A 20,991-nucleotide genomic window follows, 5' to 3' on the forward strand; every position below is an offset into this window, starting at 1 on the left:
GGACCTGTAGCTACAATAAGTGTTTTATTTGTCCACTACTGGTCCTTCCTGTCTCTACCCTTTCCTCCTTAAAAAACAACTCCTTTAAAGCACCTTATCAAATTTTACCATCCTTTACTTCTTTTTATTGTCATTTGCTAACTTCTTGATCACATTATATCATTTATGGATGATGTCAGCAACAAGCTGCTGACATCTCTGCCAGTGTTCTTGGAGATTTCCACTGTCCATCCCAAGCCTGGCCTTTTAGTTCCTCTGGTCATTAAAAATTATCTTTTCTTTTATTTTGATCTTTAGTCACTGCCATGTCCTCTGACTTTCTTGTTGAATACCATCATTTCTTATTTGCATATTTTCTCTCAAAACTTTATCCATTCCACTCTTTCGTCAGAACTATACCTTCTAGTCTATTCTTTTTTCTTTTTCTTTTTTTTTTTTTTTTTTGGAGTCATGATCTCACTCCATCACCCAGGCTGGAGTGCAGTGGCACAATCATGGCCCACTGCAGCCTCGACCTCCCGGGCTCAAGCGATCTTCAAACATCAGCCTCCTGAGTAGCTGGGACTATAGGTGTACACCACAATGCCCAGCTAATTTTTCTTATTTTTCATAGAGATAGGGTCTCACTACTTTGCCTAGGCTATTCTCAAACTCCTGGATTCCAGTGATCCTCCTGCCTCAGTCTCCTGAAGTGATAGAATTACAGGCGTGAGCCACCATGCCCGGACTCCATCCATTCTTCATACATCAGCTAGGTGGATTTCCCAGAAGTGTAAATCAGATCATGCTACTCCCATGTATAAAGCACTCTAGTGGTTCCACATTCAACTTATTAAAATATCCAAATCCCTCACCATGGCCTATATACTTTATTTCTCCTGTGCCTTTACCTCTGACCATATATTCCTCTACTCAACTCTTCATCTTCTATAATTAGTTACACTGCTATATTTCTTTCCTCAAACACTCAAACTAATATGTATCTCAGAACTTTTGCAACTGCTATTCCTTCTGTTTGGAATACCCTTCCCCTTTGAATGAGTGTCTAGTGCTCATTATTCAGGTTTCACTAATATTTTAATTCTTCAGATCTACTGGTTCCAATTCCTAGATAAATCAGGTCCCTTGTCTCAGATAACTCCACTACATCACCTTGCTTTATTTGCTTTATGGCACTCTTTGGTGTCCAAAGCTACTCTTTTTATGTACTTGTTTTGTGTTTGTTGTTTTATTTCCTCCCTCTAGAATATACTAAGTTCATTGAAGGCATGAATTCTGTTCTGTCACATGATATGTTAAATGCTTAAAACAGTGAGTAGAATGTTGTATATATTCAATAAATATTTATTGGATGATTAAAGTAGATAACATTGTTAGGCTTCAGTTTATTTATATAAGCTAGTTTTTAAAAGCATATAAAATTGATTTCCATTTTCAACAGTATATCAGAAAAACTCTGTGATTAATGTTCATGCTTCAAAATAACTAAAAGCTCTTATTGAATTCTTTTATGATATTTTTAATTTTATTGCAGAGATGTCAAGAAAGTAGGAAAAATACCAGGAAGCCAAAATAAGGGAAAGGAAGAATCTAGGAAGGTAACTATTATCTGAACTTGACAGCTACCCTGAGGTCATCTACCAATCCATGTTTATGGTGGGCTTAAATTTGAACATTTGCTCACTGTGTAGATAACAAGACATAAAATCTAGAGTTTACCAAACTTTGAAAATATGACAACTTGAAACTTAGAGCCTCAAGAGACTATGCTTCCAGTAAACTACACTCAACAGAAGTACACAGTGAATATTTTTTCCTTTAGCTTGTTACCAGGTAGAGGAAGGACAAGACTTTTCATGAGAACTAAAAATCACAAGCCACCACTGATGTAGAGCTGTGACTCAAATTAAGTTACCTGAGCCATCTGTAAAATGCCAAATACAGAACAAAAGTGATACAGGGTTTCACCTAGCTTTCCCTAGGGCTTGACGTATGCAGGAACTACTTCTCCTTGGAAAAGAAAATAAATCTTCCAAGAAGGGCTCATAATGTTCTCCTAGATAAAGTTATATTGACTATGAGCACACACTCACAAAACACACACAAGAATAAGGTATCATGAATGAAAGGCAGTAGGAAAAAAAGGATGGAATCTTTACAATTTCAAATATTTTAAGTATTGGGATGACCTGTCAAAAACTATGAGACAACTATAATTATTTTGCTTACAAATGTAAAAACCATCGTAAGTACATACAAAGATTTAGAAACTTTAAAATGGCTGACAAATTTGGAAAAGAACAGTCTTATGGAAATTAGAAATGTAATACTTGAAATTAAAAACTTAATAGATGTGTTCAATAGCAGATAATGCAGCTAAAGGTAATTTTAAAAATTAGAGGGTAGATATAAGAAATGTAACGAAAAGGCAGCCTTGATGGTCAGAAAGATTTAAAATCTGAAAGAGCTTAAGAATTATAGAGGATAGAGTGAGAAGTTATATGTTCAGGTGGATATCAAGTAAAGGGTCATAGAGAAAGATAAGCAGAAAATAATTAAAGGGATTATTTAGATTTTTTTAGATTTTTGAAGATATTTTAGAGTTTTCTAAAAGCATTGAAAGATGTGACTGTTTAAACTCAAAAGTCAAAATGAATCCAATGTAGAGCAAATAAAATGTAGACTGACTTACATTCATTAATAAAATGATGTAACTTAGATACATCACTGAAAAACTGCAGGACTTCAAAGACAAGTTAAATAAGACATATTAGCTTCAAAGGAATAATAGTATTTCAAAAGCAACAACAGAAGCCAAAAATCAGTGGAATGAATCTTCAAATTGCTGAAAGAAAACAACTCTCAACATAGAATTATAAATCTAGGAGGTGTACAACTCTTCGGAAAGGTTTCTATTTTGCTATTGCTCTCAAAAGAACAAGACAGAGTTTAATAACAAGGACACTTTTAAAGCAGTGGTTCCCAAATGGGAGTAATTTTTGGTACCCATATTTGCACCGCTCATTCAGAGAATATGAGAATATTTGGTAATATCTAGAACATTTCTGATCATAATAACTGGAGTTACTAGCATCTAGTGAGTAGAGGTCAGGAATGCTGCTAAACATCCTGTATTGCATAGGACAGCCCCCCACCCAAAGAATTGTCTCGTCCCAAATGTCAATAGTGCTGAGGTAATGTCTAAAGTATGTGCTTAAGAAAGAAGGCCGGGAGCGGTGGCTCACACCTGTAATCCCAGCACTTTGGGAGGCCGAGGCGGGCGGATAACCTGAGGTCAGGAGTTCAAGAGCAGCCTGGCCAACATGGTGAAACCCTGTCTCTACTAAAAATACAAACATTAGCCAGGTGTGGTGGAGCGTGCCTGTAATCCCAGCTACTCGGGAGGCTGAGGCAGGAGAATCACTTGAACCCAGGAGGTGGAGGTTGTAGTGAGCAGGAGATTGCGCCACTGTACTCCAGCCTGGGCGACAAGAGCGAAACTCGGTCTCAAACAAACAAACAAAAGAAGAAAATTGACTCCCAAAAGAATGTTTGAAATGCAAATGCAAGAAGGGATTATTAGAAAAGATATCCAGTTGGTCAGGCATGGTAGCTCATGCCTGTAATTGCAGCACTTTGGGAGACCGAGGCAGGCAGATCACCTGAGGTCAGGAGTTTTGAGACCAGCCTGGCCAACAAGGCGAAACCCCACCTCTACTAAAAATACAAAAATTAACTGGGTGTGGTGGCGCATGCCTGTAGTCTTAGCTACTCGGGAGTCTGAGGCAAGAGAGTCGCTTAAACCCGGGAGGTGGAGTTGCAGTGGGCTGAGATCATACCACTCCACTCCAGCCTGGGCAACAAGAGCGAACTCTGTCAAAAAAAAAAAAAAAAAAAAAAGAAAAATATTGACTGTATAAACAATTCAAAGGTAAATAATAGATTTAAATTACTAGAAAATAATAGGATATAAATTGGGAGGTAATTACATTTCCATTGCCCTGTTATTGTTAAGGAAGCAGGTGAGACAGTGATAAGATTCATACTTTGTCAAATAAGCTATGTAGGCTACATTTCCTAGGATAACCTGTAATGATTAGTTTTGCTAAATATTAATGTAGAAAAAAATGAAATAAGACCAAAAAAAACCCTAATTTAAAAAACACAAGAAAGGTGGAAAAAAATTTCCAAAAAGGTGGAAAAAATCAAAAGCATAAAATAAGGTGAAAGAAATAAAACAAATAAAACAGTAATCATGATAAATTTAACTTAAAGAAAAAGATTATCAGACTAAGAAGTGAAAATACAAGTTAAAGTAAAAGAGTATACAAAAATTTCAAAAGAAGACATATAAGTGGCCAAGAAACATATGAAAAAAAATGCTCAACATCATTAATCATCAGAGAAATGCAAGTTAAAACCACAATGAGATACCAACTTATACCAGTCAGAATGGTTATTATTAAAAAGTCAAAAAACAACAGACATTGGTGAGGATGCAGAGAAAAGGGAACATTTATACCCTATTGGTGGAAATGTAAATTAGTTCATCTATGGAAAACAGCATGGAAATATCTCTTAAAACAAAAAAGAGAACCATCATTTCTACTGGATATCTATCCAAAAGGAAAGAAATTATTTTATCAAAAAGACACCTAGACTAATATGTTTATTGCAGTACTATTCACAATACCAAAATCATGGAATCAACCTAAGTGTCCACCAATGGATAATTGGATGAAAAATGTGGACTATATATACCATGGATTACTATTCAGCCATTAAAAAAATGAAATCATGTTTTTTTTTTTTTGCAGCAACATGCATAGAACTGGAGGACATAGTCCTAAGTGAAATGACTCAGAAACACAAAGTCAAAAGCTGCATGTTCTTATTTGTGAGAGGTAACCAATGAGTACACATGGACATACAAAGTGAAATAACAGACGTTGGCAACTCCAAAAGGTGGGATAGTGAGAGGGGACTGAGGGATGACATACTACCTACCTATTTGGTACAGTGTTCTCTATTTGGGTTGTGGGTACACTAAAAACCCAAACTTCACCACTATGCAATATATCTATGTAACATAACTGCATGACATGCACAACTGTAGCTCCTAAATCTATAAAAATTTTCAAAAAGAGAAAAAAAAGAAATAAATATGCTCTAATAAAAAAAGAAGGACCAAGCAAATTGAATCAAAGGAAAGCTGATATAGCTGTATTATTACAAATAATATAGGTTTAAGACCTAAAACAATATCTAAAGATACTAGAGAAACTGGAGATTAATTGTTCAAAATATATGATTAAAATTTAATTCACTTTAAACAACTATAAACATACATATAGTAATGAGATAGCACAATAAACATAAAGCAGAAATTTACTGAAGTATAACGAAAAAATTACATGTAACTAATGACGTGTAACTAACATATACTTCAATAAACATAAAGCAAAGATTGACAGAACCACAGGAAAAAAATTGATCAATTCATTATCGTTGTGGGAGATTTTCCTACACAGTACTGATCCTTCAAGCAGACAAAAATATTTAGACAAAACATTTGACAAACAAAAATAACAGCTTGATTTAATGAAACATACAAAACATTGCCAATATCTACATGGAATATTTACAAAAGGTGGCTAAATAATAGGCATAAAGTAACTTTTAGCAAATTTCAAGAGATTGAGTTTATGTACACCATATTTTCTGATCACAATGATTCTGTTAACAATCATTAGTAAAGAAACAACTTGAAGATGATCAAATACTTGAAAATTTTAGAAACACACTTGTAAATGTAACTCATGGCTCAAAGAAACAATAATGAAACTTTAAAAATACTTGAAAACGACCAATAACAAAAATAGTTAAAACCGTGTAGGATACAGCTAAAGTAGTATTTAGAGGGAGTGTAATAACACTAAATATTTTTATTTATTTAAACAAGATGAATAAACTCAGCAACAAACTTAAGAATGTATGAAATAATAACAAATGTTAATGAAATGAAGAGCAGAAAAAATAGAAATAATAGTATTGGCTGACACCCACATAGCGATTACTGTATGCTGAGCATTGTTCTAAGTTTTTTATTTTTATTAACTTAAATTCTCCTTACCAGGCATATGATGAATTACTACACAGAATATTAAAATATGATATTTAAAAGTAAGCCCAAATATTCTTTAAAATAAAACAATAAAATAGGCAAATTCTAGTATTTCAAGAATAAAAGAACACACCAATAAACAAAATTAAGAAAGAAAAACAGCTCAAATTTACTGATGTGATAGTTTAAATAACAAGACAATAAACCAAACATTTTGAGAATAAAATGCAAATTTAGATGCACTGGACTAATTCCTAGTAAAATGTAGCTTATCTAAATTGATTTAAGAATAAATGGAGGAAAAGACGATAATAATTAAAAGGTTGTATCAATACTTTATAATAGTTCCACATGCAACCAAGAATGTTTACAATTCTACCAAACTTTAAAATAGCTGATATTTGCAATATTTGCAAATTCTATCAGAGTATTCTACAAAAGGATTATATAAATATTTATTTTTTCTAGACTACAATTGTACTGATGCCAAAAGGAGAGAAGGGCAGTAGTAGAAAGAAAAAATAGAGATCAGTATCACTCATGGATATATGGTTTTATATAAAATATAGCAAATGGTTTTATGTAAAATATAGCAAATCATATCTAGCAATGTATGAAAAGGACGAAACAACATTATCAGTCAGGTTAATCCCAGAAATGTTATTTTGACATTAAGAAATCAATTAGTAGAATCCACCACATATCAGATTGTATTATCTAGTCACAATAATTTATTCTTTCCCTACCCTGTCATGCTTCTTAATCCCAGGGTCTGGGATTTGGCTACGTGATTTACTTTGGCTGATAGAATGTGAAGAAATAGAAAACACCATGCCCAATTGCATGATTTGGTTTTCTCCCTTGCACTTTTGCTTTCTGCCATGGGAATACAATGTCCCAGTTAGGGGTTGCTCATTCAGTATGGCCCCTGGAAAGGGGAGAAATTTGGAGCTCAATCCATATATATTTGACATACAACAATCCTGTAACATGAGGAATAAATGAGTGTTTTTGTTGGAAGCCACCAAGACATTGGATTTTTGGTTACTGCAGCAAAACAAATTAAAGCAGCAAAACCTTGTGATAATCTTCAATAGAGCTAAAAATCATTACAACTTAACATCTACTTATATTTTTTTACAAAGGAAATTAGCAAATTAGAAAATGAAGAAAATTCCTTAATGCTATCTGCCAAAATACCAAACCAAAACAACAAAACATACTTACATAAGTACTTAACAATTTTTTAGTGATAAAATATAAATTTTATCTTAAAGATTGGAAACAAGAAAAAATGTCCACAATCATCATTGCTAGTAAATATAATCTAGCCTACACAGTAAGGTAAAGGAAAAATGAACATGAATTGAAAAAGAAGAATTTGCAGATGACACATTTATATACAAGGAAGGTGGAAAGATAAATTTTTAGAATTAATAAGAGTTTAGTATCTTTGCTGAGTACATATTAATATAAAATTCAATCACATTTATATATACTAGAGATAAAAGTGTTAGAGAATGAAGCAAAAATGATAGTAGCAGAATTATTGAGTAATTAAGTATAATCTAATAAGAGACGTGTGAAACCTTTACGGGAAAAGATTTTAAATTTTAATGAAAGGCATTTAAGAAGATCTGAGTAAATGGAACAATATCCACATTCCTGAATAGAAAAAGTCAATATCTTCATTATGCTACTTCTTCCTAAATTGAACCACAGATCCATGTAAGTACAATAAAACCCTAACAAGTGTTCTTTGTGAAATTAAAAAGCTTATTCTTAGTTTTTTATAGAAATGAAAAAGCCTATGAATGACTTGAACACTGATTTTAAAAAAGAATAAATTTAGGGGATCTATCCAAGAGATATCAATATTCATGTCAAGGCTATAATAATTAAAAGAGATGATATAGCAGAGACATAAACAAGTAGAGCAATTCAACAAAACAGAAATTACAGAAACATTTCCATACATAAGAAAAATGGCTATAGAACAGAAAAGGCACAGCAGATCAGTGCATAAAAAGACAGACCATTTTACTCAGAAAAACATCTATATATACTTCAAAGCACACTGAAAAATCAATTCTAGGTAGATTAAAGATCACACATGAAAGGCAAACTGTAAAAGTTTTAGAAGATAATTTGGAAAATATCTTTATGACCTTGCAATAAGGAAAGATTTATTAATGAAGACTTCAAAAGCATTAATCATGAAAGAAAGTATTGATCAATATGATTCTTATAATACACACCTTTTATTCATCAAAACACAACTCAAGAAATTTATAATGACAAACTACAAATTGGAAAAAGGTATTTATAGCAAATAACTAACAAATAATTAAGACTACAATAAACAGCCTAATAAAATAGGAAAAACGAGCAGATATTTTATAGAACAAGATATATTATGTTCTGGTTCTACTGATGGATGGAAAAACAAAAACAAAACAAACAAATGATATATTATATATGATACACTAAAATACTAAGAGATGATCAGCACAATTATTAGGAAGTGAAATGCAAATCAGAGCTCAAATGTGTTAGCATTTTATATTCATTAAGTAGATCCAAAATTAAGAAGCCAAACAGCATCAAGCATTGATAATATGTGGATTTAAAGGAAGCCCATGGACTCCTGAAGAAAATAAATTGATACAATTACTTGGAAAAATAATTTTGAATTACTTAGTAAAATTAAAGCCTACAGGATTGTTTGGAACAGCAAAAAGAAAACTAGAAACAATAAATGTATATTAAAGAATATTGGATAAATTGTAGTGTATCCATACAAAGGTATTTCACTTAGGAATAAAAATGAATACACTATTGATACACACATCAATACAAGGTAAATCTTAGAGCAGTCATTTGAGTGAAAAATATGCAGGTACAAAGTAAGATGCAATATATTACCACTGATATGTAATTCAAAGCCATTCAAATGTAACCATATGGTTTACTGATATCTTATTACTTTTTAAAAAATGAGAATTATTATAAACACAGAAGTACATCAGGTAGGGAGGACTACTTAAGCTGAGTAGTGGATACTTGCGTATTTTCTGTAATTTACATATGAAAATACTATTTTATACATGTTAATTATTTTACTGAAATTCAAAAAATAAGCAAAATTTTGTATGGCAAAAATCATGAAGGTGGCATGCAAAATATTAGAATTAATAGTGTATACAAATAATTTAAGATTCTAGGAAGTTATATGTCTGTTTACTGCTGGAATTCAATTACTATATTAAATACATAGGTAATAGCATTTCAAAATTAGAAATATGCTATCTGGGACAGAGATGGTTTGATAAGAAGGCAGTGCTGAACCTTCCTGTATTTAACTCTCATGTCCTTTCCTAAACACCTCCTCTTCAAAATTTAAATTAACTTGAATGCCTAAAAGCAGACACAGTGTTTGCTTGAATACATTGTAATAGTGATTCTGCTAAAAGGCTACCTTCCATGCAGCCAGGTAGATTTACCTCTAAGGCTCTGCTTCACTTACAGGAAAGCATGTTAGTATATAAAAAAGTTTGTTAAGGTTTTAAAGATAACAATGAAAGTTATGAAGTAATCTCTTGGTAAATCTCATTGACGGCACCTCCAAATTTCTGTTGGGTTTAAACAGATAGCAACGTTATGGTAAAACAGGTATAGTTCATGTTCTTATTTGTTTCTGAAATAATTATAAACTTTTTAGCATTTGGGATTCAGAACTTAGGGAACCAATCAAGAGAAATACCAAACATTCCAATTCCTCTACTTCCATTGACACAGTTGCATTAAAACAGTATCTGAAAAGGGACAAAATAGAAAGAACCAATTGAACCTTCCCTAGCAAACAAGGCACTTTCAATTTCTATTTCAATGTCTAGGAGATGCACAACTGTCAGAGTTGACATCCTCTGGAACTTTTGAGGCAATTTTTAAAGAAATTCAAAACTAAATGGTGCAAACAGAAGTACCTTGGAGAGCTCCAATAGTTACTACAGTTATGGTTTTAAAATTTGAAATAAAAATGAAGTCCCCCAGTGTAACTTCACAGAAAAGCTTTCTCTATTCTGTACTACCACATAAGGGTCCATTTTGTGATAGAATCATACTCACTTTCTTGTTTTGCATGCTTAATGCTTCCCTGGGAAATATTACTCATATCTATGAGTTTACAAGGATATCATTTACGAAAAAAATTTGCTAACTTAGCTTAAATGTAGAAATGATTTTTTAAGGAATTAGTTTAAATTAGTTAAAATAATAATAAATTAGTTTATTATTTTGTGCTGATTAATATCAATAATCCCTTAACTTGTGTAATTGTTTTAAGCAATTTAATTAACTGAATGTAAAATGATTATTTTAAAGGACAGCAATCACAGCAAATCCATAGTGCTAGTAATTTTTGAACAGATTAAGTAGCAGAAAATATAGAGATTTGGGAATATATACCTCAAAAATGTTTGTTTTATTGTTTGGCCATTAATTCGTTCATTGATTCATACGCATTTTGCCAGTGTCATCACATTATTTTTTTAAACATTTTATTAAAGTGTATCACACAGAGGAGTCAGCCAATTGTCATACATAACCTAGTGAATTTTTTACAAAATGAATATATCTATTTTATCAACAGCCAAATTAAGAAACAGAGTGCCATCAACACTGAAGAAGAATCCTTCATACCTCATTCAAGACCCCATCCCTCAGATACTCTTTTGTGCCGGCTTCTTTTATTCAGCATTACATTTGAGAGAGCCATCAATGCCACTGCATGGAGTTGTAGTTTGTTCATTCTTATTGCCATATAATATTCCACAGTATACTACAACATGTTTATCTATTGTACTCTAGATGAGCATATGTAGTTTCCAATTCAGGGTCATTATGAATAATGCTTATATAAACACTCTTGTAGTTTCTTTTGGCAGACATATTATGCATTTCAGTGGAATTTACTGAGTCATACGGTACAAATGTGTTTAGCTTAGTAGATTCTGTCAAACATCTTTCCAACCCGGGTTTATCAATTTACAGTCACATCAAGTAGTTTGTGGGAATCTTAGTTGCTTCACATTCTTACAAATATTTGGTATTTTAGCCATCCCAGTGGATGTGTAGTTCTATCACTTTTTGGTTTTAATTTGCTTTGTCCCAGTAAGTATCTATTCATTTATTGTCCATTTGAATAGTCTCTTTTTAAAGTGCCAGCTTAAGGTTTCCTGCTCATTTTTTTCTATTGGATTGTTATCAAGTTATTTTGAGGATAAATTAAAACACTGTAATTAAAAGGATCTTTGTAAATATGCAAGTGTTAAACAAGTATAAAGCACTGTAATCATTTAATTAATATATGTGTAGATGTATGTACACATACATACACGTGTGTGTATGTGTCTGTGTGCGTATGTATGAAATATTGACAGATGCCTATTTCTAGATCACATGATGGCTGAGAATTTTCCTAATGTGGCACTTTCTTAACAAAATTTATCTTGTGAGAGTAAGAAACTATATATGTAAATTCCCCAGGAGAGAATATGACATGTTGTACAAGCTCAATACATGATAGCTACTCTTATTATAACATTTAGTTGACTTGAGTTTGAAGCATTGATAACATTGCTAAGGAATGATGATATCCCTGAACTAGATGGAGCTCAAAATCCAACCAAAGGAACAACTGATAGCTGATCAAAGATTTTCATCAACAATAAAAATATTCTATGTCTAATAAAAATCTCCTCATGGTGACTCCACACATATTGGACAGAAGGGCCTTGTATAAAGTCTACCAATAATCTCAGAATAATCTGAGAAAGAGGACACCCTAAGAATTATGGCTTCACTGACAACATTAGAGAACATATCAAACTCAAACGAATATTCTGGGGTCTTTTTCTGTGTGGATTTTGCTTTAGAGTCCATGAGAGTAAGAAACTTCTTTAACCCTTATGATTAACAGATTTGGATACATATGTTTGAATCAGGTGACCTAATTTCCTGTTGATCACAGCCCAGGAACTCTTTCAAAATTCTTGTGATTGGTCATATTTTCCTAGGAAGTACTGAGCATGTTTAGGGAATGGGGAAAATATTTGCCTTACATAGGATATTTATCCAAAGGTAGAGTGAGAAAAGTCTGTTGCCTTGAGATTGAATAAAGATCATGATTACATATTTATACCTAAAATTGACCAAAGAGTTTCAAATATACACAATTGTCACCAATGCCTTTGCAGGATATTTGAATCCAGGAGATTTATATTCCAACATGAACTTTCAGAAATGTACTTTAATGCTGAGGCAAAATTTGAAATAACAGGTCACAGGTGTGAAACTGGAAAGAGCAGCATGTTATCCTGGAATGTAAGATTTCAGAAACAGAGTGACTCTTTTTAGCAAAATTGATTATAAGTCCCTGAGATGTAAGGAAATAGAAGAGACCCCACTAAATAAGATTGATAGAAAATACTTTCTCAGAACAGCAATCTTGCTTGTATAGTTAGAGCAGAAAGGGTTGCTATCATGTATTCATATCTTCAGTCATCCCAGAGAACTGTTCAACAATTTTAATATTCTAATATTTTCAGGTTCGCATGAGTAGGCTTATATGTTTGTGTGTATTTAATAATAGAGTAGAGTGCATTGGTAGATGATTGAGATATATTGTTTTAATTTAAATTATTTGCATGTTATGCTTTTGGGAAGAGGGATTATTAAACCTTTAAAAACTCCTAAAGTTAAGACTATTATTCTATACTAATGCATCCCTGATGTGCTAATTACTGAAACGCTCTGAGCAGTTGTTTGAAATATAGGATCAATTTAGAGTTAAATACAGAATAACAACATCAAAGTATGCACATCTTGCTTTTTTGTTATGAGTTTCACATTCAAGTTTTCCTTTATATCATTATCTTATTTCTTATCCATTCATTAACCTGAGAGTCATATGAAAAATGCTTTACAGTGTTGTTTTTAATTATCTATCTTTCAGGGTGAAAAACAAGGCAGGGTTCAGCTTTGTGTTAATTAATGTATTATGCTTAATTTATTTCTACACCCCACATTTCTCTGTTTTACTTGGCCTTCTGAAACATCTTTCTGAATTTGAATTAATGTGCTTTTGAAGAACCTTTCTAAAAATGTATTTAAAGTTTGTAATGTCTTTGGAATTTACAAATTTAAGGCAATAAAGTTTTGTTTTATAAAAGTGGAACACACGCCATATTTAAATCTGCTGCAGAAACTAAATCAATAAAGAATATGGCATCTTTCTAGATAAAGAATGGCAATATGTGACTAATTTATGTTCTGCAATTTTAAGGGCTTACAGTATTTAACATTGCAGTCTCAATATTTTGTGCTGATTCACTTTGAAGGACAAAAGCAGAAAAAGAAGCAATTTTTACTAGAACAGTACCATGATTATTCCCAGAGAAGAGTGGAAGGGTGGGTATGATCATGTAGTGGGCCACCCTCCCTCTAACAATATTTTCACCTGAGTCAAAGCAGTCTGAAAGTCTTGAAGAGGAAGAGAAGGCAGGGAAGACATGGTGAAGAGCAACATACAAACCGAGTCACATGAAAAAGCAGAAAGAGGTGACACAGTTGCTGGGCAAGAATGAGTGAATAGGACTCGTGGAGAAAGAAAAGGAGTTAGATATATGTGATGTGCATATACAACACAGGAGAAACTCAAGTCTTTTTATGTTTTTTGTTTTTCCCGTAGCAATAGCTGAATGTCTACAAAATGTATATGTAAATAAATAATCAGCCCCAGTCCATCTACTCATCTATTTATTAGATATAGACTCAGTTCCAGTAACTAGGGGTTACAGCAGTGAACAAGACACATCTGTGTTCTACTCTCCTGGAACTTATAATCTATTGGGAAGCTGCCATTATACTAATAGAAATGTAAATACATATCATTAGAAGTCTGATTCTGGAGTCAGGGTCTTGGGTTTCGTTCACTTATTGGCTGTGCGGGTGTCAGTTATTAAATCTTCTAAGCCTTCCTTTACTCACTTTTAAGTGACTGTAATACTAGTGTCTACTTTATAAAATGTCCATAAAAATTAAAGAGCTAATACTCCAAAGAAGGGGAGATAGGAGATGAGATCAGGAAAACGCCCATAGGGCTTTGGAATTGGTACAGTTTAGCTTCAGGTTACAGAGTAGAGCATGACTGAGGGTTATCATGCTAATGTATATCACATATATTGTTTTGTATATATAAAATCCTTTTTATTTAATCATTAAAAACAATTTTTAGAAAACTTAAGGAAAGTAAGACATCAGTAGTCTTTTATACGGTGATTATCTCTATGGCCTAGGATTATGGGAAAGTTTATTGCTCATTTCTGAGAATTTTTAATTTGTGAAAATGAATTTATTAAAACAAGAGAGGCAAAATAAAAATAAATAAAGTGATAGTTAAGTGTAAAATATTCGTATTCCAGTAATGGACTGTAGAGAGCTGTAAAAATAAAGCTTTTATTGTAGTTAAAAAAAAAGCAGTGTATGTCAAGTAGTGATGCGGAATGCAGTAGTATAAATATACCACACACAAACTATTCCTGGGTGACCTTTAGGAAGAAGGATGAGAGTGGTGATTGAATTGAGGCACAAGGGAAATGTCAGGGCTTATGGTGATATTCTCCTTTTTGTTCTGGTGATGATTACACGAGGTGTTCATTTGTGATAATTCAGAAAGCCATATGCTTATGAACTATGCACTGTTCTCTATGTATATTTCAATAACTAAATCAATTTAAGAGAAAATAGAAAAATGTACAGACTTCTCCTTCAGCCCTACCCAAAAACTCATGCCTTAGCAGTCAGTATAATATTCATACTGTTCGTGTTGGATGAATTTGGACCAAAAAAAATCACCCCATTAATGTTGCTAATTGGAATGTTACAGGTTTTATAGTTTGTTTGGAGCCAATTTAAACTTAGATTTTAAAATTAAATGTTGGCTACAAGCATAACAGTAGCTTGCAACTAGTTGTAAGTGTATACGTGTTTAAATTACATAAAGAGAGTTCAAGTCAAGACTTGGGGTCTGTGATTTTTTTTTTTTTTTTACTTTAAAAGGAATCCTTCTATTACTTAACTTTCCTATATGCATTTGGAAGACAGTGCCTTATAAAACAAAAGTCATGAGAGATAAAGAAATTTCTGAAAATCTTAACTCTTTGACACTTGTCATTTGCTACTACTACAGGAAATTAATTTTTTCTGTGTTTTTTTTCAAAAGTAATTTCCTCCTTTTAGAGATTGGTAAAATGAATTTATTTTCACGATTAGTTCACAAAGGTAAAGTCATAAAGCTATTGTTGACTCTGTTCAATGATGTGTCAGATCTTGGAATGCAGTACCTACTCCAATGCACAGAAATTTCATGAAGCCAGAATGGAAGAGCCAGACCTCCTTTCCCTCCAATTCAAAATTCATCCATTCATTGAAAAAAATATGTATCTGAATGTCCATAGGTGCCAGGTACTGTTCTCCAAAATGGGAGTCCAGAATGATAACACATACATGTGATATGAAGAGCAATGTAAATCTGTCTCTCAAAGTTAGAACCATAAAGCCTTGCTGTTGATATCACCCACTTTCTACCAATTGTAAGAACCGATTCATTAATAAGTCTAGTTGTCCTGAGAGACAGAGACAGAGAGAGAGAGAGAGAGAGAGAGACTATAAAAATTTGGGAAACTTTGTAACAAAATAGTACTCATATCTAACACAACAAAGTCATAGTTTAGATACTCTTATTTCAGAATTTGTGGCAACAGCTATAGGTTGATAAAGTGGCATTTATTTATTTTTCAAAAGACATAGGTATTATAACATAAAATACCGAAAGAATGTCGTACCAAATGTTATCCATGGTTATTCTGTGTAGTTGGATTATACATGATTTTACTTTCTTTATGCTTTCTGTAATTTAAATTTTAAATACACAGTAATCGCTGTTGTAATCAAAGAGAAAATAGCAAATTGTAAAGTATAGACCTTGAAACTAAGTTTAAAAATGTACAAAGAGACCTATCTGTATTTGTAATGGTCAATATCACAACATTTATATATAACCATGGAGAACCATAATTTCCTAAATGTTGGTCCAGAAAAAACCCAGACAATAAATGATTTCTCAATCAATACAACTGAACTCAAGAAAGACTTTTTATAGTGTTCTGGCACTGAATTTGGCTTGCTTAATATAGGATAGTCTAATTTTTTTATTTCTTCTTCCGAAGGGTATGGATCAAAAATAGGTAGAGAAGATGATATTGAAATAGGAAGTGCTGAAGCAAGAGTAAAAATTTCAAGCATTGTAGCAAAAAGTATAATACAGAAATGCTTTTACTGCTAAATGAACCAGAACTCTTTATTGCAGGGCATGAGAAGGTGATGATGTCTATTTATTTGCTTAGAGACACATTATATTTAAGTAGATAGAGATTTATATCCCTCTTTGTGTAGCAAATCAGAATATCCAGTTTCTTAAATGTACATCTCTTATTCAGTAACAAAGCACAGAATTTCCTATTCAGAGAGGGTTTAGATATTTTTAAAATTAACTTAATATATTTAGATCTATGAGTTAAAAATTCCTCATTTAGAAAAATTTCTACTTGAAAGTTACAGTATTTTAGTGATGAAAATAAGCTTCGGATTAATCACCTATAATTTCCTTACTTTTGAAATGAAGGCATTGAGATAGGGAAATTAGATGACTTTTCAGCTCAAACTTTCAAGGAAACTACTCCAGAATATCTGAATTCACAAAGGTGAAAGAAAGTGGAGACATTTCTAATAAGAGACATTGGGTCACATTAGGAAACTGTCTGATTTCCTAAAATAGAAAGACCTTCCCTGTGTGTCTAAATTTATTTAGACATCATGTTTCTCAAATTCAATCATAGCATTTTCTGGTATCAACAATTAATTTTTAGTACTTGTTGGGTGCCTGGAAAATTATTCCACAATACAATCAATATAAAAAGATATTTTTGAATGCCCAAAGTAATTTATAAATTCAATGCTATACCCATCAAGCTACCATTGACTTTCTTCACAAATTAGAAAAAAAATACTTTAAATTTCATATGGAACCAAAAAAGAGCCTGTATAGCCAAGACAATCCTAAGCAAAAAGAACAAATCTGGAGGCATCACACTACCTGACTTCTAACTATAGTACTACAAGGCTACGGTAACGAAAACAGCGTGGTACTGGTACCAAAACAGAGATATAGACCAATGGAACAGAACAGAGGCCTCAGAAATAATGCCACACATCTACAACCATCTGATCTTTGACAAACCTGACAAAAACAAGCAATGGGGAAAGGATTCCCTATTTAATAAATGGTGTTGAGAAAACTGGCTAGCCATATGCAGAAAACTGTAACTGGACCCCTTCCTTACCCCTTATACAAAAATTAACTCAAGATGGATTAAACACTTAAACTTAAGACCTAAAACCATAAAAACCCTAGAAGAAAACATAGGCAATACCATTCAAGATACAGGCATGGGCAAAGTCTTCATGACTAAAGCATCAAAAGCAATGGCAACAAAAGCCAAAATTGACGAATGACATCTAATTAAACTAAAGACCTTCTGTATAGCAAAACAAACTATCATCAGAGTGAACAGGCAACCTACGGAAAGGGAGAAAATTTTTGCAATCTACCCATCTGACAAAGGGCTAATATCCAGAATCTAGAAAGAACTTAAACAAATTTACAAGAAAAAAACAAACAACCCCATCAAAATGTGGGCCAAGGGTATGAACAGACACTTCTCAAAAGAAGACATTTATGTGGCCAACAAACATGAAAAAAAGCTCATCATCACTGGTCATTAGAGAAATGCAAATCAAAACCACAATGAGATGCCATCTCATGCCAGTTAGAATGGTGATCATTAAAAAGTCAGGAAACAACAGATGCTGGAGAGGATGTTGAGAAATAGGAATGCTTTTACACTGTTGGTGGGAGTGTAAATTAGTTCAACCATTGTGGAAGACAGTGGGGTGATTCCTCAAGGATCTAGAACCAGAAATACCATTTGACCCAGCAATCCCATTACTGGGTATATCCCCAGAGGATTATAAATCATTCTACTATAAAGACACATGCACACGTATGTTAACTGCAGCACTGTTCACAATGGCAAAGACTTGGAGCCAACCCAAACGCCCATCAGTGATAGACTGGATAAAGAAAATGCGGCATATATATACCATGGAATACTATGAGCCATAAAAAAGGATGAGTTCATGTCCTTTGCGGGGACATGGATAAAGGTGGAAACCATCATTCTCAGCAAACTAACACAGAACAGAAAACCAAACGCCACATATTCTCACTCATAAGTGGGAGTTGAACAATGAGAACACATGGACACAGGGAAGGGAACATCACACACCGGGGCCTGTTGGGGCTGGGGAACTAGGGGAGGGATAGCATTAGGAGAAATACCTAACATAGATAACAGGTTGATGGGTGCAGCAAACCACCATGGCACATGTATACCTATGTAAAAGACCTGCACGTTCTGGACATGTATCCCTGAACTTAAAGTATAATAAAAAAAAAGATATTTTTAGACCATACGTTCTGGGAACTTAGCATTATACTTAAGAGATAACCTGTACAATTAGAACATTGGTATAGTACAAGGTAATATCCAATAAAATCCCGACTGAATATATTCTAGCGATGAATTGTCTAGCAAGAGGATGACTTGTTACACATGCTCGGAAGGAAACACTTGGATTATTGGCAATGGCTCTATGATGAAATCCCATTCCAAATAATCTTAGTATACCTGAGGTGGTGCTGGGAGATTTGGTAGAGTTCTGAAAACTGAAGCAAAGGAACACACAAGTGAATGGATATATTACGTTTTACAGCAGTGATGGAAGTGCCTGGTGTGAGGAATATTTCAGATGTATTAGAAAAAAAAAAAGTCAGAGTGGGAAGTTAGGGATACATCTGAGAAGCTATGGTAGTCATTCAGGAAGAAATGTGTCAGGTCCTGGCCTACAGAACAGAAAGAAAGATACACAACTAAAAATCAGAGAAAAGTAAATTAAACAGGACATGAAAAAACTCAATTTACCTAAACCTTAATAATGATTGATTGTTACTCAGTCAGGAAAGAGAGAACAAAGAAGACAAAACAATAAAATAGATATCTCACCCTAAAACGAGAAACAGTTATTCTCTAATATTACTGTCCGGACCATAAGATAGTTTTAATGGAATAAGTCAACCAGGTCAAGGGGATTGAGAAATAAAGTGGGAAAGTGTATTCATCAGCTATTAAGAAAAGTTTAGTGTATGGTGGGGCAATGGCATTACCATCTGAAGGGTATAAAACGTTTCTCCTAAGATTTTGCTGTCATCCTATATAGTTCTCTTTTATAGCTGAGGAGTTAAGCTCTAATTCATTAACAGCAATCTCCCAATTCAAAAGCCCAAATTAAAAAACATGTTTGCTTTCTTTTTTAGCTGGATGTTAAAAACAAAACAAAGCAAATCAAATATCCAAAGCAGTTAACTTCTCGGCCAAGCAGAGAAGTGAATGTACCAATTCGTTTCCAATCCTGAGTTTTTGCTAATTTCCCAAACAAATAAAAGTAATTTTATCAGCCAAGACTAGCCAGTGCAAACCATATTCTATTTATTATCAGAGATAACATTACCAAACTTGGCAAGTAATGGTATAGATGTTTGTCATGGTTTGGTCATAAGGGTTACCCAGTGAGACAATGTGGATCATGTTTTACAAATGTTTGTCTACAAAATATGCAAATTAGTTCAGCCTTTAGAGAGAGTCTGGCAGGGGTTCATCTAAATATCTGAATAAAGTTGCATGCCTTAAGAGAACTGTGGATCTCTACTTGTCTCCTTCGAAATGTTTCCCTAATCCTTTCTGTAATTGTGTATATTCTTCTATATTCTTTCCTTTTATAAATGTGCCTGTGCCTTTTAGGCCTGAACCAGTTTCACAGACAAACCTACCAAGGTCAAAAAAGTTCTTGAGGGTCATCAGTCTGCCAGGCATGTGAGCTGCTGCACATGAAGTTTCAACAACTGCTTCATTGAAGATGAACAATTTTCTGTTCGTCTGAATACTCCAGATCCCCAGTAAAGCCCATGTTCAGTATGGGACAGTTATTTTTAGAAGAAAGTATTTCTGTCAAAGAGGAGTTGTGGCTGCTAACAGTCCCCAGGATTCCCTCTCTAGATTTGTAAAGGGCATCATAAGCAGCAACACACCAAAAAGCGAGTGTCCCTCTATCTTTCCTCAGTAATAAAAATTCCCATTAGGAAAAATACGGCTGGTAACACCCTCAGCCTTGACATTGATTTTGCTTGGTCAGCCTCGGGTCATATTCTCCACGGTGCCATCTTCACGCCTCACTCCCTCACATTCACAACCTTGACGATTTGCGTTGCCATGTAGTCATGGAGAAAATGTGCTCAGTAACAATGGCCTGCTGGACCTGGCTTACAGTGGTTCAGACTAGTTCACACTGGCTCTCAAGAAAGAATTTTCAGGACTTTTGCAGGACAGTGGCTAAACATAACTATTTTTAATAATTAAATTGTGTACCTTTAAAATTAGATTATACTTTCTAAAAAGGTAACAAATATACAAAAATATTACTTTCTAATTATTGGACAACATTTTATTATTATATATGCCTTTGGGTTATGTATGCCTATGAATCTGTACAGTCAAAATTATTTAACAGGAAATATGGCCTGTGACTATGCAATTTTTCCCAATTCTACATTCAGCGATGTCACCTTGGTA

At 33.4% G+C, this 20,991-nt stretch overlaps 1 protein-coding gene across 7 annotated transcripts in view, besides 1 other annotated feature; it reads right to left on the reverse strand.

The window, feature by feature from the left end:
* Nucleotides 1–20,991, reverse strand: part of KCNH7 (potassium voltage-gated channel subfamily H member 7) — a 467,361-nt gene that overhangs the window by 295,186 nt on the left and 151,184 nt on the right. The gene's annotated exons all lie outside the window — the stretch shown is intronic.
* Nucleotides 3,732–3,901: an enhancer, noted in NCBI's record as "experimental_55297 CRE fragment used in MPRA reporter constructs". NCBI's record gives its function as "activates a minimal promoter by MPRAs in K562 erythroleukemia cells, with activity observed for both the introgressed and non-introgressed 2:163526919 variant alleles {active_cell/tissue: K562}" and the evidence as "EXISTENCE:reporter gene assay evidence [ECO:0000049][PMID:34662402]".

This window comes from Homo sapiens, chromosome 2 (genome assembly GCF_000001405.40).
Source record: "Homo sapiens chromosome 2, GRCh38.p14 Primary Assembly".
Lineage (NCBI taxonomy): Eukaryota > Metazoa > Chordata > Mammalia > Primates > Hominidae > Homo > Homo sapiens.